The sequence below is a fragment of the Homo sapiens genome, chromosome 1, assembly GCF_000001405.40.
Source record: "Homo sapiens chromosome 1, GRCh38.p14 Primary Assembly".
Lineage (NCBI taxonomy): Eukaryota > Metazoa > Chordata > Mammalia > Primates > Hominidae > Homo > Homo sapiens.
In genome coordinates this window covers 46,196,545-46,224,278 of record NC_000001.11, presented here as the reverse complement: position 1 = coordinate 46,224,278, position 27,734 = coordinate 46,196,545, and the positions used below count along the sequence as shown (strand labels likewise).

Below are 27,734 nucleotides of genomic sequence, written 5' to 3'. Positions count from 1 at the left end.
CCCCACAACACTCTCAGGTGCTATCCAATTGACCCGTAATTCCCTGACCTGTGGAGCCACACCTACTTCTGCAAGACCCATCTAAGTTTCCTAATTTCACAGCTCCCCACCCCCACCTCTGCTTCTAACCTCCAGGTCTGAAATGCTGAGCTCTGTTCCTATGATGTCTGGAGCTACTAGCCCTCCTTCCCAGAAAAATGGTGGGTCCAGGATTGATTTTTCCTCCTATCTGTGATCCAGACTAGTGCATCCTTCACCCCTTCATCCAGTCCAGGCCCAGGGTTTTCTTTCCTGCAGCTCTTCCTCTAAAGACTAAGCTGCCTCTTTAGGAAGAGGTGAGAACGCAAACATTGTAACAGGGGCAAAATTGCTTTCAGTCCCTTTGGGCTTCAGTGGTGTTGACTGGCCAGGTGATGGAGCTGTGGGCATGTGGGCTTGTGATCTGGGTTTTCTGACCTGGACGTCGCCACAACTTTACAATGGGTGATGCTGGGCAAGTCTATGCCCTCTTTAGGTCTGACTCACTAGCCTTTCTGCGCACTGACGGGGGCTGGTCTTTAGAAGGCCATGTTTTATTTGAGCTTGGAGGTTCCACACAGCAACTCCAGCAGTGGTGCATAATGGCCACAAGAGGGCGGGCAACCTCTTCAGCTCATAAGTGTGTAGACTGAACAAGTGAACCTCAAATAAGAATACTATACAGTGTCTTCCAAGAAGGGTATAATTCCATGAACAATGTTGCTGAAGAGAAAAAAAAAAGAAATAAAGGCTGGGCATGGTGGCTCAGGCCTGTAATCTCAGCACTTTGGGACGCTGAGGTGGGAGGATTGTTTGAGCCCAGGAGTTTGAGACCAGCCTAGGCAACATGACAAAACCCTGTCTCTAGAAAAAATACAAAAAGTAACCCGGGCATGGTGATGCGTGCCTGTAGTCGCAGCTACTTAGGAGGCTGAGGAGGATCACTTCAGCCCAGTAGGCAGAGGCTGCAGTGACCCGAGATCGCACCACTGCGCTCCCGCCTGGGCGACAGAGTGAGACCCTGTCTTAAAAATAAAACAACAGGCCAGGCAGGTGGCTCACACCTGTAATCCCAGCACTTTGGAAGGCTGAGATGGGCGGATCACTTGAGGTCAGGAGTTCAAGACCAACCTGGTCAACATGGCAAAACCTCGTCTCTACTAAAAATACAAAAATTAGCCAGGCATGGTGGTGCACGTCTGTAATACCAGCCATTTAGGAGGCTGAGACAGGAGAATCGCTTGAACCCGGAAGGCAGAGGTTGCAGTGAGCCGAGATCGCGTCACTGCACTCCAGCGTGGATGACAGAGCGAGACTCCATCTCAAAAACAAAACAAAACACAAAACAAAACAAACAAACAAAAAAAAACAGGAAGGGTAATTAACCGAGGGCACACTACAAAATGACTACAGAGTAGGGACTGGAATAGGAGATTCAAATTCCCAGTCTGAGGGGAAGTCAGGAGTCCCAAGACCATAGGAGTGGTATGGAGAGGTCTTGTGAGCAGTGGAAGAAGCTGAGAATATACTTTGGACATTTCAATCATTTGAGGGGGTGGGAGGGGAAGAGAGGGTGTTTAGGGACAAGCCATGGACTGAATATTGCTCCAGAAGGACCGGGGTGGGAGTTTCAAAATGAGACTTGAGGAATTTAGGGAAGCAGAGATGATCAATTTGGCTTCCTTCCCTTCCCCAACACAGAATACAAAATAGAGAAATGGCACGAGTTATTCCAGGATTTGAGGAGGACGCCTCTTTTGCAGGAGGATGCAGTGAACAGCCAAAGTCATCTGACATCCTTTTCCATCTTTTTCCTTCTAGTATCCCAGTTTCAAGGCCCAGGAAAGGCAGGGACTAACATATGGAGCAGTTACCCCAGAGTTCAAAGGGTTAATCTCTAAGAATTCATTCTCTGACACCAGCCACAGCTCTTGTCCCCATCTCTGGGACCGTCCCCTCTGAGCCCCAGGTTGGCAGCTTCCCTGAATTCCTTCTATGATATAATTTGTAATTCGGCAGGGCTCTGGGACCCAGGCTCAGAGACCCAGGCTCTGCTCTCTCCTCAGTTTCCGGGAGTCAGGGCTTGCTCTAAGGGAGGAAGTAAACAGGCCTTTCCCTTGCTCCCTCTCCTTTTCCAGGATGGGGCCCCGGGACCAAAGAGCTTCTGTCTTTCCCTGCCACGCCCCCACGCTGCAGCCTAGACAAGGAGATTCCTTGTGTCCCGACCTCAGGCAGGCATCCTTGTGACCAAATGGTGGAAGGCTGGGGACAGGGTGGGGGAAGGGCAGTCACAAAGTCAGAAAGGATGACACCTCCCCTATCCAAGATTCTGGTACACCCCCAGAGCTCTGAGACCTTGAGGTTCTCTCTCCCTGGCTCCCATCAACAAAGGGCAGAGGAGGCCAGGACTCATTTGCATATAAAAGGCCTGGAGAAACTGAAAAGGCATGGACACACAGAAGCTGAACCTCCTGGAAGGGAGATATGGAGTCAGAATACAGGAATAGGGCCAGACACAGCAGCTCATGCCTGTAATCTCAGTAATTTAAGAGGCTGAGGCGGAAGGACTGCTTGAGCCCAGGAGTTCAAGTGCACCCTAGGCAACATGGTGAAACCCTGTCTCTGGAAAAAAATACAAAAATTAGCCAGGCATGGTGATGCATGCCTGTAGTCTTAGCTCCTTGGGAGGCTGAGGAAGGAGGATCATTTGAGTCCAGGAGGTCGAGCCTGCAGTGAGCACTACTGCACTCCAGCCTGGGCAACAGAGGGAGACCCTGTCACCCTATCTCAAAAAAAACAACAAAACAAAACAAAAAAATGGAATACAGGAATAGGGGCAACACAGGGACAGGGTAAGACAGGGGACCATGGCAGGGTGAGCCAAACAGACTTGAGAGAAATAAATGGAGGCCCCTGAAAGCTTCTCTCCCTAAAAGCAGTCAGGAGTGCTGGCCCAGACAGGGATGCAGGGATGGAGCCACAGAGGAAGTGAGATCCCCTAGGATAAAATGAGAACACTCTATTTAAAAAGTAAGACCTGAAAAGAAGCACAAACATCTGACAATGAGAAACTTTCCTGCCAGGAGGAGTGACATGTTACTGTTCACAAGAAGTAATGGTATGGACGATAAATAATGTGATCTCACTTAGCAGCAGGGGCTCAGATGCCCCTATATGACCTACTACCATCCAAGGACCCGTACAAAGGGCTACCCATCCTGGCAGGAAATGACATCACTCAGCAGGTAGGAAGGGGTGGGTCTACCAGCCCAAACGCTTCTGGGAGGGCCAATCCATAGAGGGTTAGTCCTGAAGGTCCATGTCCCTCCTCAATCCTCCATCTTGGCCAAGAGAGAGGCCAAGGCTTCTAGACTTTGGGTGAAGTAATTATGCCCCCATCTCTTCATCTGTTAACTCCAGGGAGTCCTAAATTCCTTAAATCCTTACTTAGCTGGGGGGAGTAGTGAGAGATACTAAATACCAAAAGCCATAGGTCAATCCTTTAGAGTCAATATCTCTATAGAAGTATCTCTAGGGGCTGGGCATAATCCCAGCACTTTGGGAGGCTGAGGCGGGAGGATCCCTTGAGCCCAGGAGTTTGAGACCAGCCTGGGCAACACAGGGAAACCCTATCTCTACAAAAAAAAAATAAATAAATAAACAATTAGCTGGGCATGGTGGTGCATGCCTGTGGTCCTAACTATGGGGGAGGCTGAAATAGGAGGATCGCTTGAGCCCAGGAGGTCAAGGCTGCAGTGAGCTGTGATCATGCCACTGCTCTCTATCTTGGGTAACAGCATAAGACCCTGTCTCAAAAAAAGAAAGAAAGAAAGAAAGAGCAAGCTAGCTCTAGGGACCCAATAATTGAGGGATAAAGGCAGAGACTCCCTAGGGACTAGAGAAATGATGAGCCAGGTTTCCATGGTAACTGATTTCAGTGCAGCCTCTTCCTAGTCTCAGACTGAGGGAGAATCAATTTTGGGGGAGACCACATCTAATGGATAAAAGAGCCACAGGATTACAAAAGGGTGGAATAGTTGTTACAAGAAGGTCACATCATCCTGGCACTGCTCCCAGAACCAGTGGGCCTCGAAGCCCAGCTTGGCACTCTCATCCTCTGGTGACTCAGGTGGTCCACCTTGAAGCCTCTCCCCTGGGGGCTTCCACACAGCTCTCAAGCTCCCTAGCCTGGTGGCTGCCACATCCACCTCAGTCCTGGCCCTCTCTCCACCAGCTATAACTTTTGCCCAGTCCATCTCGGAACGTGGAGCCCCAGGTGGGCCCTGTTCATCCAGCTCGCTGGGGGCCACTGTGTCCAGGAAGCTGCCAATAGAGACACTGTCCAGCCGGTCGGTGGTGCTGGTGTCTGGCAGGCTGTCCCAGCTGCCTCGCCTTGAGCGGCCTGGGCTCCCGCCTGTCAGGCTATATTGACTGCTGGTGAGGCTGCTGCAATGACTGGTCAACGTCCCCCGCTCCTCCAACAGCCAGCGCACTGCCTCGATGCCCTCATTCAAGGTCACCAGCTGCTGCAGGATCTTCACATCGATGGCTCGCAGGTAAGCCTGGGGGAGTGGGAGAAGGAATTAGTCCCAGTTCTGGGGCATGGGTTTCCCCAGCGTTTCCACAGGCCACTACCTTGTGGTTCAGCCAACCATGTTTCACTTTAAGACGGATGGAATTATAACGGCTTGCAGTGTAGGCTTCAGAAGCAGACAGACTGCTGCCTAACATTTCAGCTCTACCACTGATTAGACATATCTTCTTTGAGCCTCAGTCTCTTTGTTTGTAAAACAGGATTAAATCACTTACCTCACAGGGTAGCTGTGAGGATTCTGAAATGCTGTCTATTAAGTACTCAGCACAGTGCCTAGCACAGAGGAAGGTCTCAGTAAATGTTAAGTATTAAAATCCAATCCTATTAAGCTTTGAACTTCATATTTAGGGTACTTCTTTTTTTTTTTTTTTGAAATGGAGTTTCGCTCTTGTTGTCCAGGATGGAGTGCAATGGCGCGATCTCAGCTCACCGCAACCTCCGCCTCCTGGGTTCAAGCGATTCTCCTGCCTCAGTCTCCCAATTAGCTGGGATTACAGGCGTGTACCACCACACCCAGCTAATTTTGTATTTTTAGTAGAGACAGGTTTCACCATGTTGGTCAGGCTGGTCTCAAACCCTTGACCTTAGGTGATCCGCCCACCTCAGCCTCCCAAAGTGCTGGAATTACAGGCATGAGCCACCATGCCCAGCCACAGGGTACTGACTATTGAGCCTGCCCATATTCACCAGAAAGACATAGAAACAAAGAATAGCAAGATAGGGTGTTAATCAGGAAGTAGATTGGGCCAAAAGGAGGCAGGAGCTGGGGAATAAAGAGAGCTAACCTGGTTCCCTAGTCTTTTCAGGGCATTGGTAGCAGCCACCGAGAGGGGAAAGGGTTGGCCAGAGCTTAGAAGGATCAGAATCCCACTGGCTGGGCATTCAGGCCTTCTTGCCTGTACACACCAGTCTACCTGTCTGTACTGGAAGTAAATTTGACTTACAGGGTAATCTCAAGCGTCCGTTCCAGCTCAGATGCACTGTTACCTTCCCTAAGCACAAGTCTGAACCTGTCTCTCCCTGCTCAAGAGCCTTTATAGGCATTGCACTGCTCTTAGAGAGTGCCGAATCCGAACATCTACAATAGCAGGGAACTCCGCCCTCCTCTTAGAGAATGAAATCTAAACATTTTAGCAACTGGCATTCAAAAGCCTGTAACATGTGGCTCTCGCCCATCTCTATAGTTTCGCCTCTAGCATTCTGCTCTGTGAACCCAAGGTGCTGCCACAAATGACTTTTTAAAACTAGTTTTATTTAGTTTTACTTTTATTATTATTTTTTGAGACAGGGTCTTGTTCTGTCACTCAGGCTAGAGTGCAGTGGCACAGTCATGGCTCACTACAGCCTCCATCTCCTGGTCTCAAGCGATTCTCTCACCTCAACCTCCCAAGGAGCTAAGACCACAGGCGTGCACCACACCTGGCTAATTTTATTTTTTGTACAGACAAGGTCTCACCTTGTTGCCCAGGTTGGTCTCAAACTCCTAGGCTCAAAGCAATTCTTCCAAAAGTGCTGGGATTACAGGTGTGAGCCACCACACCCAGCCCAGTTTTATTTCTAATCAAAGTAACAGATGCACAGAGATTAAAGAGGCAAACAGTTCCACAAGATTATGAACATGAACAGTTCTCCCATCCTGGTCCTACTTCCCAGAAACAACTATTATTATTTATTTAGTTGTTTATTTTGGTATTTACCTCCTAATCTCCATATTTATATTGCTATTTCTTGGTATTTAAATTTCAGGCATTTTCTATTGATTTCCCACACTATATAAGATTAGGGACTTAACTTTCTTTTTTCTTTTTTGAGACAGAGTTTCTCTCTTGTTGCCCAGGCTGGAGTGCAATGGCGCCATCTTAGCTCACTGCAACCTCCGCCTCCAGGGTTCAAGCGATTCTCTTGCCTCAGCCTGCTGAGTAGCTGGGATTACAAGTATCACCTACCACGCCTGGCTAATTTTTGTATTTTTAGTAGAGACAGGGCATCACCAGGTTAGCCAGGCTGGTCTCAAACTCCTGACCTCAAATAATCTGCCCACCTTGGACTTCCAAAGTGCCGGGATTACAAGGCGTGAACCACCACGCCCAGGCAGGATTTAACTTTCATCCCACTCCCCACTCCCCTGCCATACAGATACCCTTCCCATCTTCCATCCTCCTAATAGGCAATAAAATTACTCAGTGTTTACTTTATTAGGATTTGGAAATGCTCTTCACAGCTAAGCCATGTAGTTTACTATAGTTACTTTTTATTTCTTACAACATTTTATCCTTAGAATTATTATTATTATTATATTGCCTAGTTTGCTATGTAGTTATCAGCAAGTCAACCTCAAACACTCCCTCAATTCTCTGAATTTCCCTCTCCAGGCTTTTGAATGCATGACACGTTCTATCTATTCCATCTTCTGAGAGGCATCTCTTAAGGAGCCCTCTGCTCTGCTTCCATCTGTCCTTGCTGCACAATTGCCCTCCAGGGATCTCCCTCCATTATCATCTTGGTAATTCCTTTGCCTCTTTCCTTAGCTGGATCCCTCGTTTCTTAGATTCCATATCTTCTTTTTTCATTTACTCCTTCATTTGGGTGAATGGTTCTTTCCCTCTAGTAGCATCCTGAGAAAGTTGGCATAAGAGGTAAATTTATTGAAGCTTTGCATGTTTTAAAATGTTATTACACATCCATAAGATATAATGAAATCATGTCCTTTGCAGCAACATGTATGCAACTGGAGGCTATAATCCTAAGTGAATTAATGCAAGAGCAGAAAACCAAATACTGCATGTTCTAACTTATAAATGGGAGCTAAACATTGGGTATATGAACATAAAGATGGTAATGATAGACACTGGGGACTGTTGGAGGAGGGAGAGAGGTGGGGGCAAGGATTGAAAAATTATTTGTTGGGTACTATGCTCACTTCCTGGGTGATGGGTTCAACAGTATCCCAAATCTCAGAATCATGTGATATACCCATGTAACAAACCTGCGCAGGTACCCCCCTCCGAATCTAAAATAAAAGTTGGGCTGGGCATGGTGGCTCTTGCCTGTAATTCCAGCACTTGGAGAGGCCAAGAGAGGAGGATCACTTGAGTCTAGGAGTTTGAGATCAGCCTAGGTAACAGAGTGAGACACTGTCTCTACAAAAAATTTAAAAATTAGTCAGGTGTGGTGGTATGTGCCTGTAGACCCAGCTCCTCGGGAGGCTGAGGTGAGAGGATTGCTTGAGCCTGGGGGGTCAAGGCTGCAGTGATCCATGGTGGTGCCACTGCACCCAGCCTGGGTGACAGAATGAGATTTCTCTCAAATAAGATAAAATAGGGCCGAGCGTGGTGGCTCATGCCTGTAATCCCAGCACTTTGGGAGGCCGAGGCGGGTGGATCACGAGGTCAGGAGATAGAGACCATCCTGGCTAACACGGTGAAACCCCGTCTCTACTAAAAATACAAAAAATTAGCTGGGCGAGGTGGCGGGCGCCTGTAGTCTCAGCTACTCGGGAGGTTGAGGCAGGAGAATGGCGTGAACCTGGGGGGCGGAGCCTGCAGTGAGCCGAGATCGCGCCACTGCACTCCAGCCTGGGCAACAGCGAGACTCCGTCACAAAAAAAAAAAAAAAAAAAAAAAGATAAAATAAAAGTTGAAATTATTTTTAAAAAGTTATTAATCTTTCCTCACACTATTGATAGTTTGGCAGGATATAGAATTCCAGGTTGAAAATAATTCTTCCTCAGGGGTTAAGGCATTGTTCCATTGTCGTATTTTATTTTTGAGACAGGGTCTTACTCTATAGCCCAGGCTGGAGTGCAGTGGTGGCACAATCATGGTTGACTACAGCCTTGATCCCCTGAGCTCAAGCAACCCTCCTGCCTCAGCCTCCTAAGTAGCTGGACTACAGGCATGTACCTACACCTGGCTAATTTTTAAATTTTTTTTTGTAGATGGGGTCTCACTATGTTGCCCAGGCTGGTCTCAAACTCCTGAGCTCAAGGGATCTGCCCATCTTGGCCTCCCAGAGTGCTGGGATTAGAGGCATGTGCCATGGCACCCAGCCTCCATGTCTTTTAATTTTCAGTGTTAGCCTTTAAAAATCTAATGCCATTCCAATCCCTGATCCTTTGTATGTGACCCTTTTCCCATTCTTGCTGAAAGCTTTTAGGATCTTCTCTTTGTTCCCAGTGTTCTGTTTTTACAGCAATTTGCCATGGTGTGGGTTATTTTCATCTATTGAGTTAGCCACTTGATGGGCCTTTTCAATCTGGAAACTGACGTTCTTCAGTTCTGGGAGATTTTTTAAAATTATTTCTTTGATGATTATCCTCCAGTATTTTTCTGTTCTTTCTGGGAATCCTATTACTTGGACAGAGGGTGTCCTGAACTGATGATCCTCTATGTTTTTGTTTTTGTTTTTTTCACTCTTGCATCTCTTTTTTTTTTTTTTTTTTGAGACAGAGTTTTGTTGTGTCGCCCAGGCTAGAGTGCAATGGTGCGATCTTGGCTTACTGCAAGCTCCACCTCCCGGGTTCACGCCATTCTCCTGCCTCAGCCTCCCAAGCAGCTGGGACTACAGGTGCCCACCACCACACCCGGCTAATTTTTTGTATCTTTAGTACAGACAGGGTTTCACCATGTTAGCCAGGATGGTTTCAATCTCCTGACCTTGTGATCCACCTGCCTTGGCCTCTCAAAGTGCTGGGATTACAGGCGTGAGCCACAGCACCCAGTCACATCTATTTCTATACTTGCTCTAGTTTCTGAAATATTTCAACTTGATCAACTCCTCTTTTTTTTTTTTTTTTTTTTGAGATGGAGTCTCACTCTTGTCCCCCAGGCTGGAGTGCAATGGCGCACATCTTGGCTCACTGCAGCCTCTGCCTCTCGGGTTCAAGTGATTCTCATGACTCAGGCTCCCAAGTAACTGGAATTACAGGTGTCTGCCACCACATCTGGCTGATTTTTGTATTTTTAGTAGAGATGGGGTTTCACCATGTTGGTCAGGCTGCTATTGAACTCCTGACCTCAGGTGATCCACTGCCTTGGCCTCCCAAGTGCTGGGATTACAGGCATGAGCCACCACACCTGGCCTATTATCAACTCTTTGGTTTTTCTTTTTTCTTTTCCCCGCCATGATGTGTTTATTTCCAAGTGCTGTTTCTAGTTCTCTGAATGTTTACCTTTTTACACCTTCTTGTTTTTGTTCATGGCTACAGTATTATCTTTTATCTCTTTAAGGATATGCTTAATGATTTTTATAAGTTCGTATCTCTCTGTATTATCTCCATTTCATTCAAGTTGCTTTTTCTTTTCCTTTTTTTTTTTCTTTTTGAGACAGAATGTCATTCTGTCACCCAGGCTGGAGTGCAGTGGCACGATCTCGGCTCACTGCAACCTCTACCTCCCAGGTTCAAGCGATTCTCATGCCTCAACCTTCTGAATAGCTGGGATTACAGGTGCCCGCTACCACAACCAGCTAATTTTTGTATTTTCAGTAGGGATGGGGTTTCATCATGTTGGCCAGGCTGGTCTCAAATTCCTGACCTCAAGTGATCATCCAGCCTCGGCCTTCCAAAGTATTGGGATTACAGGCCTGAGCCACCATGCCCGGCCTCAAGTTGCTTTTTCCTATTTATTTAGGTCTATATAGAGGGTCAGATGTCTATCATCTTTAACTGCTGCTCACCCTTCAGAGTGGATCTCTACAATGACTAGAAACCGTGTATGTATGAAGCTTGCCAACTCTGAGCCTCACTACAGGATGATCTGATTGGGCTGTTTAATTGGAGGTCTAAAGTCTGTATCTTTTTTTTTTTTCTTGAGTTAATCATATTCCCCATATTATACCACTCTAGAGAGTATAACGTAAGCAAGGCTGTCAGTATCCTAGGAGCCAAGTAGGGGTAAAGGCTTGGAGAGGTATTTCATGATATTTAGTACTTTTTAAAGTTTTTGTAGAGACAAAGTCTCGCTACGTTGTCCAGGCTGGAGTGCAGTGGCATGATCATAGCTCACTGTAGCCTCAAACTCCCAGGCTCAAACTCCTCACCTCAGCCTCCCAGAGTGCTGTGATTACAGGCGTAAGCCATTGTGCCTGGCCGTATTTAGTGTATTTTTATTTAGTCCCTCTTGTCCTCAACTATGCTCAGTGTCTTTTAATCTAGAGACCTTCTGTTCTATTCTCCATATATAAAGTCATTTGTCACGTAACAATGGGGATATGCTTAGAGAAATACACCAGCAGGAGGTTTTACTGCCGTGCAAATATGACAGGGTAAATGCACAAACTAGATGACATTTTAAAAAATTTATATACTTTTTAAAATATGGAAAACAAAATGTCCCAGCACAATTACTGAATATCAATCCCTACTTGATCTGCTATGCCAATATCAAGTGCCATATATCATATTTGTGTATATGCTGTGTTATAATCTTATGAAATCACTATGGTATATGCTGTTCATCGAAACATCGTATGTTTTGGTCGTATGATGACTGAAACATCATATAAATATTTGTGTATGTGTACACACTTATATACACATAAATGTTTATATATATGTGCATATATACACACATGATAAATGTTTATTTGACATATGTAGTCTATCATTGATCAAAATGTTTATATGGTAATCCCAGCACTTTGGGAAGCTGAGGAGGACAGATCACTAGAGGTCAGGAGATCGAGACCATCCTGGCTAACACGGTGAAACCCCGTCTCTACTAAAAATTACAAAAAAAATTTTTGCCAGGTGTGGTGGTGGACACCTGTAGTCCCAGCTACTCAGGAGGCTGAGGCAAGAGAATGGTGTGAACTCGGGAGGTGGAGCTTGCAGTGAGCTGGGATCATGCCACTGCACTCCAGCCTGGGCGACAGAGCGAGACTCTGTCTCAAAAAAATAAAATAAAATAAAATAAAATAAAAAATTAGCCAAGCATGGTGGCTCTTGCCTGTAATCCCAGCTACTCGGGAGGCTCAGGCAGGAGAATCACTTGAACCCGGGAGGCAGAGGTTACAGTGAGCTGAGATGGTGCCACTGTACTATAGCTTGGGTGACAGAGCGAGACTCTGATTCAAAAAAAAAAATTTGGCCGGGTGCAGTGGCTCACGCCTGTAATCCCAGCACTTTGGGAGGCCAAGGCGGGCGGATCACGAGGTCAGGAGATCAAGACCATCCTGGCTAACACGGTGAAACCCCGTCTCTGTTAAAAATACAAAAAAATTCGCTGGGCGTGGCAGTGTACGCCTGTAGTCCCAGCTGCTGGGGAGGCTGAGGCAGGAGAATGGCATGAACCCGGGAGGCGGAGCTTGCAGTGAGCTGAGATCGCGCCACTGCACTCCAGCCTGGATGACATAGCAAGACTCCGTCTCAAAAAAAAAAAAAAAAATTTACATGGTTGTTTATGTTATACATGGTCTGACATTGACCAAAACGTCATTATGTGTGTATGTGTATTTACATATACAGGTCAGATCCCGCAGGTCACACAAACACAGTAAATGTTTTTTGTATTTGAAAAATGTTTATTGAATTATTCAGGAAATAACTGCTTTATTCACATCTATGATAAACCAGAGTAAGACCATGCATTAATATTTGTACATTGAGGCCAGGTGTGGTAGCTCACTCCTGTAATCCCGGCACTTTGGGAGGTCGAGGTGGGAAGATCACCTGAGATCAGGAATTTGAGACCAGCCTGGCCAACATGGTGAAACCCCGTCTCTAATAAAAATACAAAAATTGGCCAGGCGTTGTGGCGCACGCCTGTAAGCCCAGCTACTCAGGAGGCTGAGGCAGGAGAATCACTTGAACCGAGGCAGAGGTTGTAGTGAGCCGAGATCACACCACTGCACTCCAGCTTGGGCAACAGAGCAAGACTCCGTCTCAAAAAAATATATATATATATTTGTACATTGAGAAAATTAGACACTGGAATTAAATGGACCTAGATTTGAGTTCCAGTTTTGCCATTAATGAGCCATATGAAATTAAAATTGATTTCTTTAAACCTTCATTTCTTTATTATAATATGAGGTACTATCTAAAGGTTTGTCATGAGACATCGAAGGAACATATTAACATGCATAGCATACCATCTGACAAGTATAATACTGTAAATCAATAAATGGTAGGCTATTTGGCTCTACATATTACTATGGTCGACTTATTTACTAGTTGTGATATTACTGTGTGTGTGTGTGTGTGTGTGTGTGTGTGTGTGTGTGTGTGCAGGTTTTCATCCAGTTTTTGGCTCATAAGCCCCATAGCCATTGTTACAGTGTTTGTTATAATGCTGGGGCACTCAGAAATAGGCTTCAGGAAACAGTCTCTTTCTGACCTTCTCCTGCTCTCCTCTCACCTTCCCAGAGTAGAACTCTAATCTGATTGTGGGTCATAAGACCCTCATTCCAGAGAAGGTCCTGACTCATACCCTGGAGGAAGGAATGCCGCAGAGAGAGGCCAATAAGAATCTAAACAGACAGGCTTTGCTGGGTTTTGATCAGACCCTTTTTGTCCAATAACATTTTGATATGGTTGTCCATGTTTCAATCGTGGACAACCAATAAAGTCTCTTTAAAAGGCCCAAAGGACCAGGCACAGTGGCTTAAGCCTGTAATCCCAACACTCTAGGGGACTGAGGTGGGAGGATCGCTTGATCCCAGGAGTTCAAGACCAGCCTGGGCAACACAGGGAAACCCTGTCTCTACCAAAAAAAAAAAAAAAAAATTAGGTGAGTGTGGTATTGCACACCTGTAGTGCCAGCTACTTAGGAGGCTGAACTGGGAGGATTGATTGAGCCAGAGAAGTACAGGCTGCAGTGAGCTGTGATTGAGCCACTGTACTCCAACCTGGGCAACAGAACCAGACCTTGTCTCAAAAAATAAAAAAAGGTCCCCACAACAGGATTCAGAGAGCGTCCAAGTAGCTGAACAGATGGAGGGTGGTGCACCCAGGGAGAGCACAGAAGTTCCGCACCCCTTCCCGTATGCCTTGCCCCATGCATCTCTTCATCTATATCCTTTGTAATATCCTTATAATAAACCAGTAAATGTGTTTCCCTGAGTTCTGTGAGCCACACCAGCAAACCAATCAAACCCAAGGAGGGGGTCATAGGAACCCCAATTTGAAGCTGGTTGGTCAGAAGGTCAGGAGGCCCAGATTTACGACTAGTGTCTGAAGAGGGGGACAGTCTTGGGGACTGAGCCCTCAACCTGTGGGATGTGACACTGTCTCCAGGTAGACAGAGTTGAAATTAAATTAGTAGACACCCAGCTGGTATCTGCTGCAGAACTGATTGCTTGCTTGCTGGTGGGAAGAAATCCTCATATATTTTGGGGTCTTCTGTATTAATGATTATTGTTGTGTTGCATTAAGTGAAAAAATTAAAAAAACACACACACACAGTTTAGGGTTTTCTAAACACTATGGCAAAAGCATAGAAAAAAATTTTATACCTGAAATTATTTGTGTTTTTGGAAGAATATCACAACTCTAATTCAATTGAACAAATGACTATTGGGTACATGGATTTGCTAATAATTACAAAGATAATGGAGAAATTGTTCCTGCTTAATAGAAGCTTGCAGTCTCAATAAGGGGAGATGAACATAAATAACTGCAATATCAGACTGTACAGACTATTAACTTGATAAAGGAGATTATCTTCAATTATTTCATCCTGGAGACAAATATATGAACAGTGAAGACAACTGTCCTAGTCCATGACCAAACTAAATACATTAAACAAAGCTCCTCATACTAAAAACACTTGTCCTGCTGTTTTCCCCTCCCTCCTTTCCTTCCTTTCTGCCTCCCTCCATCCCTCCCTTCCTTCCTCTTTCCAAAATTTACATCTACAGCCGTGCATGGTGGCTCATGCTTGTAATCCCAGCACTTTGGGAGGCTGAGGCAAGTGGATTACCCGAGGTCAGGAGTTCAAGACCAGCCTGGCCAACATGGCAAAACCCCGTCTCTACTAAAAATACAAAAATTAGCTGTGTGGTGGCGGGTGCATGTAATCCCAGCTACTCGGGAGGCTGAGGCTGCAGTGAGCTGAGATTGGGCCACTGCACTCTAGCCTGGGCAACAGAGCGAGACTCCATCTCAAAAAAAAAAAAAGAAAAAAAAAAAGAAAACAACAACAGAACTTACATCTCCAGTCTTCTGCTAGATAAAGAATTAGGTGGCACCTGGTTGCACAGTTAGGGAGGGGATCTTAGAATATGACTTTTAAACATTCAACCAGCCCTTTTGTTTTCAGCCCCACTTGTGCCCCCAGTTCCAGAAATACCTGGTGCTTCCAACCCCTAAGACCTTTAAGGGTTTTTGCAGTATAAAATGTGTTGCTTTGGCAGGGGGCGGTGGCTCTGTAATCCCAGCACTTTGGGAGGCCAAGGCGGATGGATCACCTGAGTTCGGGAGTTCGAGACCAGCCTGACCAACATGGAGCAACCCCATCTCTACGAAAAATACAAAATTAGCTGGGCATGGTGTCACATGCCTGTAATCCCAGCTACTTGGGAAGCTGAGGCAGGAGAATTGCTTGAATCCAGGAGGCGGAGGTTGCGGTGAGCCAAGATTGCGCCATTGCACTCCAGCCTGGGCAACAAGAGCAAAACTCTATCCCCCACAAAATAAAAAAGTGTTGCTTTTCAGCTTTCCCCACTGCTGGCTCGGGACTGAGCATTTTTTAGGTCTGAGTTAGTTACCACTCTTCCTTCTGAATTTCAGTTTCCAAAATTTTGTTCCTATTACCTTGTCTCTTATTCTCATTGTCATAACGGCTTCATGCCTTTTATTTATTTTATTTATTTATTTTTCTCTTTTTGAGACAGAGTTTTGCACAGTCGTCCAGGCTGGAGTGCAGTGGCACGATCTTGGCTCATTGCAACCTCCGCCTCCAGGGTTCAAGCGATTTTCCTGCCTCAGCTTCCCTAGTAGCTGGGATTACAGGTGCACCACCACGTCCAGCTAATTTTTGTATTTTTAGTAGAGATGGGGTTTCACCATGTTGGTCAGGCTGGTCTCGAACTCCTGACCTCAGGTGATCCGCCCGCCTCGGCCTCCCAAAATGCTGGGATTACAGGCATGAGCCACCGTGCCGGCCCTCAATCTGGTATCTTGAACTGGAATTCCCACTGACTTTATTCATTCTTCAAGCCCCAGCTCAAATGTCACCTCCTCGAGGAAGTCTTCCTTGCCCTTCCTCGAGATGGAATTAATCCATTCAGTTATGGAACCAATATTTATTGTTTCTTATTGGTGTGGCACTATGTTCGATGAAGAAAGAAAAGGCATCATTTCTTACCTTCAGAAGGTTCATAATCTAGTGGGTAAGATAAGACAATGAAGCAAGCACTTAAAATTCAGTGTGGTTGGCTTGGCATTGTGGCTCAGCCTGCAATCCCAGAACTTCGGGAGGCTGACACAAACGGACTGCTTGAGGCCAGGAGTTTGAGACTGGCCTGGGCAACATAGCAAGACCCTGTCTCTATTAAAAAAATAAATAAGGCTGGTGGGGTGGCTCACACCTGTAATCCCAGCACTTTGGGAGGCCAAAGCAGGCAGATCACTTGAGGCCAGGAGTTCAAGACCAGCCTGGCCAACGTGGTGAAACCCCATCTCTACTAAAAATACAAAAATTAACTAGGCGGGTGCCTGTAATCCCAGCTACTCAGGAAGCTGAGGCAGGAGAATCGCTTGAACCCGGGAGGCAGAGGTTGCAGTGAGCCGAGATCACGCCATTGCACTCCAGCCTGGACGCCAAGAACGAAACTCCGTGTCAAAAAAAATAATGATAATAAATAAATAATTTAAAAATGAAAAGTTCAGGCCAGGTGCAGTGGCTCATGCCTGTAATCCCAGCACTTTGGGAGGCCGAGGCAGGCAGATCACGAGGTCAGGAGATCGAGACCATCCTGGCTAACATGGTGAAACCCCGTCTCTACTAAAAATACAAAAAATTAGCTGGGTGTGTTTGCAGGTGCCTGTAGTCCCAGCTACTCGGGAGGCTGAGGCAGGAGAATGGGCTGAACCCAGGAGGCGGAGCTTGCAGTGAGCCGAGATCGCACCACTGCACTCCAGCCTGGGCGACAGAGCGAGACTCCATCTCAAAAAAAAAAAAGAAAGAAAGAAAGAAAGAAAAGTTCAGTGTGGCAAACGCTAGTGGAAACAACTGCTATACAGAGGACTGTAGATACCTAGAGGGCCATAACCTAACCAGGTCAGGAAATGCTTCCTAGGATAAGGGACATGAGCTGAAAATTTAAGGTTAAGAAGGACTCAGCTAGGATGGGCGCAGTGGCTCACACCTGTAATCCCAGCACTTTGGGAGGCTGAGGCAGAAGATCACTTGAGGTCAGGACTTCGAAACCAGCCTGGCCAACATGGCAAAATCCCGTCTCTACTAAAAATACAAAAGCTAGCTAGGTGTGGTGGCACATGCCCATAGTCCCAGCTACTCAGGAAGCTGAGGCAGGAGAACCGCTTGAGCTTGGAAGGCAGAGGTTGCAGTGAACCGACATTGTACCATTGCACTCCAGCCTGGGTGATGGGAGTGAAACCCTGTGTCAAAAAAAAAAAAATAGAAGGACTCAGCCAGACAAAGAGGTGGAGAGAAGCATTTCAAGCAGAGGAAACAGCCTGTGCCTCCTTCCAATTTGAAATCGACTTTCTAGAGCACAAACCCAACCACATCACTCTACAGTGAAGACTCTTCCAGGAGGCCCTTCCTGGGTTCTACCAGCACTTATCATCCTGTACTAGAAATGTTCTTCTGTCTCCTCCTTCCCTAACCAGACTGTGAGCTCCCTGAGAGCAGATCCTGCCCAATCCATTTCTGGTGCTTGGCCCAGTGCTAAGGAGGTCACATTCAGTTCTGTGATTCTCTTGCCTTTACTATCCTTGACCCCTTTGATGGTTCCCAGGATTCAGGGGTCTGGGTTGTAGTGTGTTGCTGGGAAATAAATCTGAGAGCAGATTCTATAATCCTGTGGCAGTGGGATTCCCTGACTGTGACAGCATCACTCCCAGAATAGAAGAAAGCAAGGTTTTCTTGCCAGAAAAAGAAACACTCTTTTCACACCATCTCTTGAAGAAAATAGAGTATAGGATAAACAGCTCAGGAGAGATGCAGCCTCAGAGGCGACTCCAAACCCAATTCTCCTTCCAAGGAGATTCAGGCTCCCTACTCCTCTCCTTAACATCTACATACCAGACTCTCTGCCCAGCGCTGGGGTCCTGTATGGTTTCCTCATTGCTCAATATAAATCAGGCCCTAGGGTAAAAGCCTGGAAATCCCAGTCCGAGCTCCCAGAGCGGGGACTATCAGAATATTGTTACTATAAAGGTTCTTAACAATCATCTGGTTTCACAGTCCCCATCTCCCTCTACCCCCTCCACCAAAAGGAGGAAAAACTGAGGCCAGGAGAGAGACAGAGTGCTGCTCAAGACCACAAAACGTTTCAGAAGCAGAGCCAAGACTTGAACCCGTGCATTCTTCCTTGCCTAAAGCTTTTTCTCAAACTGCCTCTGTGGAGGTGGGTTGTCATAGCAACAGTTCTTTGGGTGGGAGAACTAAGAAGAAGTTGCCACTGTTTCCCATTCCCACATATCCCAGTCTGGCTTGTTCACTCAACCTTTGAATGGAGGGTAGAGGAAGAAAGCAGGAGGGACGAGGCCTAGAGGCAGGACTGACCTTGGCCTCAAGGGTAGGCCTTCCCCCTTTGTGCAAGGAGAGCTGGGAGAGGAACAATTGAAGGACAGTCCTTAGAGGGCTTGAACCAGTCCTGCCTTCAGTAGCCCGAAGGCAAATCCCTTGCCCCACCCCTTGTCCTTCCTGGGTGCAACCCAGTAGGCAGGGCAGAGCACAAGAAGAGATTAATATTAATAACATCCTGGCCTGAGGAAGGAGAAAAAATAGGATGGGGATCTCTCCTCATTCTGGCCCCAGAAGGCTCCCTCCCTTGTGCCCTTTCTCGGGCAGCCTCAGGCCCCAGGCAAGCTGGGTCAAGAATACAGAGAGACAAAATCAAAAGTTAAATGCAGCCCCTTAAAGTTTACAGATAGTTTCCACCAAGGCAGAGAAGAGAGCCAGAGACTGGGCGTGGCTCTTCCACTGACTCCCTATGTGAGTTCAGAATCTGCAAGCACGTTTTATCTGTAAGATGGGAGAAATGATGACCAGTTTTCTCATTTCAATGACATAAAATGTTCAGACTATCTGGCACAAAGCAGGTCTCAAAGTAAAGATGCAAAGTGCAGTCAGATGATCTGGGTTCAAATCATGGCCCTGCTTTTTGCGTGATGTTGGGCAGTTATTAAACTCCCTGTGCCTCTGTTTTCTTTTCTTTTCTCCTCCCTCCCTCCCTTCCTCCCTTCCTCCCCTTCTTCCCCTTCTTTTTTTGAGACAGGGTCTAGCTCTGAGCTCTGTCACCCAGGCTGGAGTGCAGTGGTGCGATTTCAGCTCACTGCAACCTCCTCTTCCTGGGCTCAAGTGATCCTCCTGCCTCTGCCTCCAGAGTAGCTAGGACTACAGGCACACACCACAACACCCATCTAATTTTTGTATTTTTTGTAGAGACAGGGTCTTGCTTTGTTGCCCAGGCTGGTCTCAAACTCCTGGGCTCAAGCGATCTGCCTGCCTCGGCCTCCCAAAGTGCTGGGATTACAGGCGTGAGCCACCATGCCCACCCTGTGCCTCAGTTTCTCCATCTATAAAATATCACTTAACAGGGTTACTGTGGAGATGAAGAGAGCATCATGTAAAGTGCTCAGCAAGCTGCCTGGCACATGCACTGGGTGAAAGTTTTCAAAGCAAGTAGACAGTCTAGATAGGCTCTTACTAGGCCTTGAGCTAAAGTTTGTACAGTGAGGCAAAGGCAAGCCCCCGCTTAGGTGGGTACAGTCACAGCCTTGCTCTGGAGAATTGGGCACTCACCTCCAACCTTCAAGGCCAAGTGCACACTTGGCATTCAAGTCCTTCTCCCAGGGGGCCTTTCCTGACTGCTCCACCCACCAGACTCTCTTCCCAGCCTCTCAGCTCAGGCGTCGGAGCCCTGGCTGGTCTCAGAGCCCCCATGATTTCCTTCCCCTTCTCCTTCACAGACCAGCTTGGCACAGGCTGGGCACACAGGAAGACTTTAGCTGACGTACTCACTGTGGGCTCCTGGTTGTGAGCCAGGAAGCCGATGGCAATTCCTCAGTTCCCCAGAACTGGCTGCAAAGTAGTGGCAGGTGTAAATCACCCACTTCACCGGAATCAGGGCCCTGGGGAACCTGCCAGGGCCTCGGCTGCCCTTTTGGCTCTGAATCTAGACCAGCAGCAATAGAGAAAGGGGAGGGTTGCTGTTTCCTCTTCTCCCCAAGAATGTACAGATGAGATCCAAATATCCAGTTTACCTGGAAGACTGGCTGGGAGGAGACTGAGTCTGAGGCGAGGGAATCAGCACCAGTGGTGCTGCTACTCTCTGTCCCTGCTATGGGTCTAGGAACTTTCCATTATTTTAAGTAGGGCTGGGGGATGTAGAGGAAACGGAGAAGGTTTTCAGTGCCCCTGGTCCAGGTAGTTTTCAGCAGATAGGCCCCTTTACCCACTTCTTTTCTGTGCGGAACACTGCGGCCTCACAGGAACTTAAACCCTTTCCCGGTTAGCAGAAGGAGAAAAAACCGGTTGCCTTACAACGGGGACTGGCGGGGAATAGGTGGCCCATACAGGCGGGGGGAATTTGTGCTGCGTTGGGTTCTCAGTACTTCCCAGTCCTCATCTCTCTCCTCCCAATTATTTGGCAGGAATAACTTCCAAAACCCACTGCTCCCAACCCAAGTCCTCAGGACCATCAACACCCCACTCACTCTTGGGGGACAAGTAATGGACGTCACTCCATCTCCACCCCAGCGTTTACGGATTGATCTGGGAGGGATTCTGAGCAGTTAGGTGGAGAGTTTTAACTACCTCCTCTCCAGCTTAACTCTGGGAGCATGAGTTCGTCCCTCCCGGCCCTACACTAGGGACTCGTCCCCTTGGCCCATGGATTCAGCACTCACCAGCTCCATCTTCAGCGCCATGATCTTGTCCCCCAAGTCGTGGCCGGTGCTAGACGCCCCTGGGAGCAGCAGGGCGCCAGAGGTTCCCAGCTCACACTCGCCTCGCAGCCCGCGGAGCAGCCCTTCAGGGGTCTTCCTGCCCACCTTACCCTCCACATCCCGCAGGTCAGGCGTCTGGGACTCCACGGTCCCCTCCATGCGGGCCCAAGCCTGAAAAGGGCTGGGCGACCGGACGCCGGGGACCGGCTCCCGGGGGTCCTCCCTTCGCCGCTGCTAAAGCGGAGCAAAACCGGTGGGTCCCCGCCCGCGCGGCGCGGGGGCGGGAGGAGGGCGCCGTAACACTCAGAAAAGCCGCGCAGCACCGTCTGTGGATGTATTCGAGTGCTGCGCACACAACCTCTGGCCCTGGATTGCGTGGGGCTGGGCGATTCTGGAGTTGGACCTGAAAGAGCACTCGGAGACCTCAGCGCCTTCGCCCCACCCTGGCACTGAATCCAGCCAGGCACACAGCAGGCGCCCAATACATGTTTGCAGAATGAAGTCTAAGCAGCTTCAGTCAGAGATGTGGGAGTTTAAGGAACAGCGGTAACAGAGAGCTGCAGAGGGCTTGGAAGTCTTCCTGGAGCAGAGGAATTGGGTATAAAACGATGACTGGATTTTAGCTAGACACACACACACACACACACACACACACACACACACACCACCCCCCCCCCCCAGGGGCTAGAATTCAGGCTAACGGAGTAGAAAAGGGCAACCAGTACTGAAGCTGAAGAGGTCCACGTTGGGCTTACAAGCAAGATGCTCCTTAAGCTTGACTGTGCGTATGAATTATCTGCGGATCTTGTTAAAATGTAGGTTCTGATTTTGTAAATCTGGGGTGGGGCTTGAGATCCTGCATTTTTTTTTTTTTTTTTTTTTTTTTTTTGAGACAGAGTCTCGCTCTGTCGCCCAGGATGTAGCGTGGTGGCGCGATCTTGGCTCACTACAAACCTCTGCCTCCCTGGGTTCAAGCAATTCTCCTGCCTCTGCCTCCTGAGTAGCTGGGATTACAGGCATGCGCCACCATGCCCAGCTAATATTTTTGTATTTTTAGTAGAGACAGGGTTTCACCATGTTGGCCAGGCTGGTCTTGAACTCCTGACTTCAAGTGATCCGCCTGCCTTGGCCTCCCAAAGTGCTGGGATTACAGGTGTGAGCCACTGCGCCCAGCCAAGATCCTGCATTTCTAATAAGCTCCCAGGTGATGGCCATGCTGCTGGTCCACACTTCAAGTAATAAGGGACCACACTTTGAGTAACAAGGTTACAGAAAATGGTTCTGAGATGTTTGGGTTTTATTTAACAGGTAATGAACAGCCATGAAAACTCTGGTTTGTTTAGGCTTTTAATTCAAGTAATTCCAGCCCATGGTTGCAGAAGGATTTACAATGAGAAGATAGTTACCCCTACCCTACCCTTTCACACCTCTAGGCCCACTCCCAATTGGCAAAAAATAACTTTTAGTTTTTTTTTTTCTTTTGGTGTTCATACCCATAACGTTATTGTTTAGAGTTAACTAAAAGTGGTTGCCAATTGGGAGTGGGCCTAGAGGTGTGAAAGGGTAGGGTAGGAGTAACTATCCTCTTATTGTAAATCCTACCACTATTTTTTCTTTTTTAGAGACAGGGTCTTCCTACATTGCCCAGGCTGGACTCAAACTCCTGGGCTCAAGCAATCCTCCTGCCTCCCAAGCAGCTGTGACTACAGGAGTATGCCACCATGCCCAGCCACACTACTTCTCAATTTTAAACATTCATCTGCTGTTTATTGTCCTATTCAGATAAATATGGATATATGGGTTTAACTCACACTCTGTAGTTCCTTTCCCCCATTGGCAATATATATTTCTTTTCTTTTCTTTCTTTTTTCTTTTTTTTTTTTTTTTTGAGATGGAGTCTCACTCTGTCGCCCAGGCTGGAGTGCAGTGGCACGATCTTGACTCACTGCAACCTGCCCTCCTGGGTTCAAGCGATTCTCCTGCCTCAGCCTCCTGAGTAGCTGGGATTACAGGCACGTGCCACCATGCCCGACTAATTTTTGTATTTTTAGTAGAGACGGGGGTTTCACCATGTTGGTCAGGCTGGTCTCGAACTCTTGACCTCGTGATCTGCCTGCCTCAGCCTCCCAAAGTGCTGGGATTACAGGTGTGAGCCACTGCGCCCGGCCTGGCACTACATATTTCTATCACTCTTTTTAGTTCATCTAAGGTTACCTTTGTAATTAACTTTTTTTAAAATTTAGATAGAGTCTCGCTATGTTGCCCAGGCTGGTCTCGAACTCCTGGCCTCAAGCAATCCTCCCACCTTAGCCTCCCAAAGTGCTGGGATTACAGGCATGAGCCACCATGCCTGGCCTACCTTTATAATTTTAAGTAACATCATTTTCCTTGGTACTTTTTGATCCATGGAAGGGTTTTAAGTTAGAGATAGACAAAACATTTGTCTTTTTTTTTTGAGACAGAGTCCGGCTCTGTTGCCCAGGCTGGAGTGCAGTGGCACCATCTTGGCTCATTGCAACTTCTGCCTCCCAGGTTCAAGCCATTCTCCTGCCTCAGCCTCCTGAGTAACTGGAATTACAGGCACCTGCCACAACACCCAGCTAATTCTTGTATTTTTAGTAGAGACGGGGTTTCACCATGTTGGCCAGGCGGATCCATCCGCCTCAGGTGATCCACCCGCCTTGGCCTCCCAAAGTGCCGGGATTACAGGCATGAGCCACCGAACCCGGCAACATTTGCCTTAAAGAAAATCACTCTGGATTTTGCAAGGAGAAAAGGATAGGAGGAGTAAAAATCTAGAGTCAAGGAGACTGGCTGGAAAGCAAGAAACTGAAATGGCCTGCACTGGGGCTGATTGTGAGGTCAAAGAAGAATTAGACTAGAATGGAAGGCTCTTTAGGAGGTAAGACTGACAGGACTAGGTGACTGGTTACATTCATTTATAGTGGCATTCAATAAAAATTTGTTAAAAAATACAAATGAATGATTTCAACAAATGTTACGGAGAGCTTACTATGTGCCAGCCTTTGTGTGTGGTGTAGAGAATACAATGGTGAGCAAGACATACCTGGACTGGTCACTGGAGACAGACAAGGAGTCAAGGGTGACTCCCAGCTGTTTGGCCTGGTGCAGTTCACTGAGGAGGGGAACCCACAGGAAATCTAGGAGTGAAAGGAAATGATTCCAGAAGTTGTGCTGTTGCGTTAGAGGGGCCTGTGAAGATGTCCTGCTGGACATCAGGCAGCCTGGAGCTCAGGAAAGAGGTTAGAACTGCCAATGTCAGTTTGGGCATCTAGATTGGTAACAGAGGTCATGAGAGAATGAGATCATCCATGAAGAGTCAGTTTGAGGAGAAAAGAGGGTCAGGAAGGAACCCTGAGGGACATCTTTTAATTATTTATTTTTATTTTTTTATTTTTTGAGACGGAGTCTTGCTCTGTCACTCAGGCTGGAGTGCAGTGGTGCAATCTCAACTGCAACTTCTGTCTCCCAGGTTCAAGCGATTCTCCTGCTTCAGCCTCCTGAGTAGCTACGATTATAGGCGCCTGTCACCACGCCCAGCTAACTTTTGTATTTTTAGTAGAGACGGGGTTTCACCGCGTTGGGCAGGCTGGTCTCAAACTCCTGACCTCAACTGACCACCCCACCTCGGCCTCCCAACCTGCTGGGATTACGTGAGTCATGGTGCCCAGCCGGGACATCTTTTCAAATGTAATAAAATGTGTTGGGTTTTCTTCCATTCTTATACATACTTACTAGGAAAAATCATGTATTTCTTTAACTCCTAAGACAAGTACTGTTAACATTTCATTTTGGGGGATATTACCCCACCATTCAGGAAGCAGATGGAATACAGAAAGCTCAAAAAAATCTAACTGGTCTTCTGGCTTCCTCTGTCTGCTTCCAACCCATTCTCCACAAAAAAAGTAAAGGTTCTCTTAAAACAGAAATTGGATTATATTGCTCCCCTGCCTAAAACTGTTCTATGGCTATCCACTTCAAACAAGCATCAACATCACCTAGAAACTTCTCAGGAATGCAAAATCCCACCCTGCCCCAGACCACTGAATCTAAAACTCTAGGGATGGGGCCCAGCACCTCTGTTTTAAGAAGTCATCCAGGTGATTCTGACGCAAGCTAAAGTTTGAGAACCATTGTGTTAAGCTAACTGCTTTCTATGTATGATGTTATTTAAACCTGGCAATTCTTATGTATTGTTGCCAGCAGAGTGCAGTGGTTAAGAGCAGAATCTGGAGCTAGGCTGAGTTTCAATTCCACCTCTCCTAGCTTTGTGATATTAGGTCTTATTTCTTTATCTGCGACAGGGATAGTAATAGCGCCTATAGCCAGCACGGTGGCTCACTGCCCATAATCCCAGCACTTTGGGAGGCCAAGGCGGGCGGATCACTTGAGGTCAGAAGTTCAAGACCAGCCTGGCCAACATGGTGAAACCCCGTCTCTACTAAAAATATAAAAATTAGCTGGGTGTGGTGGCGCACGACCGTAGTCCCAGCTACTCAGGAGGCTGAGGCAGGAGAATCGCTTGAACCCAGAAGGCGGAGGTTGCAGCGAGCCGAGATGGTGCCACTGCACTCCAGCCTGGGCGACAGAGCGAGACTCCGTCTCAATTAAAAAAAAAACAATAATAATGATAATAGCGCCTACCTCATGGGGTTGTTGTGGAATTAAACATCATCAGTAAGGTGCTTAGAACAGTGACAGAACCTGGATTTTAATCTCCCTTGGCCTCCAATAGCTGTGCATGCCCCAGGACTAGGTAACGGCCTTGCCCAGGACGGGTATGGGGCGGGTGGTGTGTGCCCTGTGTCCAAGGGTTGCAGCCCCTCTGACCCTGGCGTGCCCTGTGATCTGGTCCAAGGTGCTAGGCCTCTGACTGGAGTCGGGCTTGCCATCGGCGGTGCTGGGGAGCGGGCTGCTCTCGTGCAGGCAGCCCCACCAGCCAGCCGGGCTGCGAAGCTGCCTAGCACGGTCTGAGCATTCGCCTTACTCGCTGGCTGCTTACACCCCGACGCCGCTGCCGCCACCGCCGCCGCCGCCGCCGCCGCCCTAAGCACCGCCCGTCGCCCTCTCACCCCGCGGCAGCGGCGGCGGCGGCGGCGGCGGAAGCGGGGGGGCGGGCCAGGCCGGGGCGGGGCCGCAAGCGGCATGGAGGAGGCGGAGGCCGCGGCGAGCCGGGCCGAGCAGTGAGGGCCCTAGCGGGGCCCGAGCGGGGCCCGGGGCCCCTAAGCCGTGAGTGCCTCCGCGTGGGTGTCCGGAACGGGTAGCGCTGCCGGTGCAGGTCTCCTGAGCCCTCGGGCGGCTCCGGGCCCTGGGAGGAGGAGAGAAGCTGGGGCAGATAGGATGGGACGAGGGTTGAAGACTGGGGCAGGAGAGGTCGCTCTTTGCTCACCACAGGCTTGGGAAGGCCTGGAACTTGGTCCTTGTAGGGGCTAACGAACTTTGAGCCGATTATTTGGCCTCCACCCTTGGACAGCCTTGATTCAGAGAGTTACTCCAGTCTCAGGGAATTTCCAGGTGATCCAACCCCACTGAAGGGTTTCCTGCCAGCCCAGAGAAGTTGAGCCACTTTCCCCATGTCACACAGTATGGGTGCTTGCAGGGAAGAGTTGCTGGGAGGTCCTCCCTCATCTCCCCAGAAGGCATCAGACTTTGGGAGGAGCATCTTACCCCATGTGGCCCTCTGGTCCCTTCAGATTCCTGAAGTCATGGGCTGGCCAGGACATTGGTGACCCGCCAATCCGGTATGGACGACTGGAAGCCCAGCCCCCTCATCAAGCCCTTTGGGGCTCGGAAGAAGCGGAGCTGGTACCTTACCTGGAAGTATAAACTGACAAACCAGCGGGCCCTGCGGAGATTCTGTCAGGTATAGAGATGTCCCAAACCCTCCCCACCGAGCGCTCCCTCCCAGCTTCCTCCCCACCTAAATCAGGCACTGGGACCCCTGTTGGCCAGCCCCAGTGGGAAAGGGGCAGCAGGTTCCTAGAGGGGAGACCTCTATGTGTCATGTCCCTATAGGTAATGATTTGAACCCAAAGTTCTGGAATCGGAACCCAAGTACAACTTCTAAGCTTCTGACGGAAGCCTGAAGTCTGATCAGGCTGGCTTTGCAGAGAGGCACACCCCTGTGAGGCAGTTAGGGCCAGGACCCAGGTCTGATCCCCCGCTTGGGTCCCTGGGCCTGGCTCCATCTCTAGAAACCAACAATGGAGGGGACCAAGGAAATCAAGGTCTCAAATAGAAGAATACAGGAGCACTGGGTAGGGAGGGCCCTAATGGAGGGGGAAGTGTCAGGGGAGGTTCCCTGGGGAAAGTGGCTGTGAAACTAGGCCCTGGTCAGGGGAGTAGAGCTAGGCAGACAGAGGAAGGGACAGGACCCAGTTTCTCTGGATGTCTTCACTGCAGCCAGGGCCCTCCTTTCAGAAAGACCCTCTAGGATCTGAAGGAGGTGCTCCTCTTAATCATCCCTACCCCTCCCCTCAGACAGGGGCCGTGCTTTTCCTGCTGGTGACTGTCATTGTCAATATCAAGTTGATCCTGGACACTCGGCGAGCCATCAGTGAAGCCAATGAAGACCCAGAGCCAGAGCAAGACTATGGTAGGGCTAGGCTAAGGATGGGGTAGGGGGCCTTGGATCTCACAGCTGGAGTGGCAGGCAGACCCTAAGCGGTGAGACTCTGCTGAGGAGACTATCTCCATGACCTGTTGTACCCCACAGATGAGGCCCTAGGCCGCCTGGAGCCCCCACGGCGCAGAGGCAGTGGTCCCCGGCGGGTCCTGGACGTAGAGGTGTATTCAAGTCGCAGCAAAGTATATGTGGCAGTGGATGGCACCACGGTCAGTGGGCCAGGGTCTGGTGTACAGTCACTCTATTCTGCTCAGGGCATGGTCCACTGGCAGCAGGGTCTACTGCCTAAGTGGGAACTGCAACTCTGCCAGTTTCTAGCTGTGTGACTTTGGAGTCCTCGATTCCTTATCTATAGACTGGGACTAATGATTTCTACTTGTCAGGATTCAATGAAA

General features: G+C 48.4%; 2 protein-coding genes across 13 annotated transcripts in view, besides 4 other annotated features; one reads left to right on the top strand and one right to left on the bottom strand.

The window, feature by feature from the left end:
- On the bottom strand, positions 3,023-20,945 carry LURAP1 (leucine rich adaptor protein 1). Its single transcript, NM_001013615.3, has 2 exons — positions 20,655-20,945; positions 3,023-4,580 (listed from the first exon to the last, which is right to left on the bottom strand). Exons 1-2 carry the CDS (start codon positions 20,850-20,852, stop codon positions 4,059-4,061), a joined length of 720 nt encoding a protein of 239 aa, NP_001013633.1. The 5' UTR covers positions 20,853-20,945; the 3' UTR covers positions 3,023-4,058.
- Positions 3,974-27,734, top strand: part of POMGNT1 (protein O-linked mannose N-acetylglucosaminyltransferase 1 (beta 1,2-)) — a 31,623-nt gene continuing 7,862 nt past the window's right edge. For 3 of the 12 annotated variants that reach the window (XM_006710756.2, NM_001438686.1, NM_017739.4), the window contains exons 1-4: positions 25,845-25,943; positions 26,408-26,577; positions 27,195-27,309; positions 27,430-27,548. In XM_006710756.2, coding sequence (XP_006710819.1) covers positions 26,458-26,577; positions 27,195-27,309; positions 27,430-27,548 — 354 coding nt within the window. In that variant the 5' untranslated portion in view covers positions 25,845-25,943; positions 26,408-26,457. Of the gene's footprint in view, positions 4,575-25,844; positions 26,229-26,407; positions 26,578-26,729; positions 26,972-27,194; positions 27,310-27,429; positions 27,549-27,734 lie in introns of those variants that run through there. The other 9 variants (NM_001290129.3, NM_001438691.1, NM_001438688.1 and 6 more) reach the window with 6 other exon arrangements.
- Positions 4,349-4,849: an enhancer, noted in NCBI's record as "H3K4me1 hESC enhancer chr1:46685102-46685602 (GRCh37/hg19 assembly coordinates)". NCBI's record gives its function as "activates a minimal SCP1, AML or CMV promoter by ChIP-STARR-seq in naive H9 embryonic stem cells {active_cell/tissue: H9 hESC(naive)}" and the evidence as "EXISTENCE:reporter gene assay evidence [ECO:0000049][PMID:30033119]".
- Positions 5,623-6,124: an enhancer, noted in NCBI's record as "NANOG-H3K4me1 hESC enhancer chr1:46683827-46684328 (GRCh37/hg19 assembly coordinates)". NCBI's record gives its function as "activates a minimal SCP1, AML or CMV promoter by ChIP-STARR-seq in primed H9 embryonic stem cells {active_cell/tissue: H9 hESC(primed)}" and the evidence as "EXISTENCE:reporter gene assay evidence [ECO:0000049][PMID:30033119]".
- Positions 20,905-21,024: a silencer, noted in NCBI's record as "silent region_838". NCBI's record gives its function as "represses an Ori minimal core promoter by ATAC-STARR-seq in GM12878 lymphoblastoid cells {active_cell/tissue: GM12878}" and the evidence as "EXISTENCE:reporter gene assay evidence [ECO:0000049][PMID:35858748]".
- Positions 25,717-25,916: a silencer, noted in NCBI's record as "silent region_837". NCBI's record gives its function as "represses an Ori minimal core promoter by ATAC-STARR-seq in GM12878 lymphoblastoid cells {active_cell/tissue: GM12878}" and the evidence as "EXISTENCE:reporter gene assay evidence [ECO:0000049][PMID:35858748]".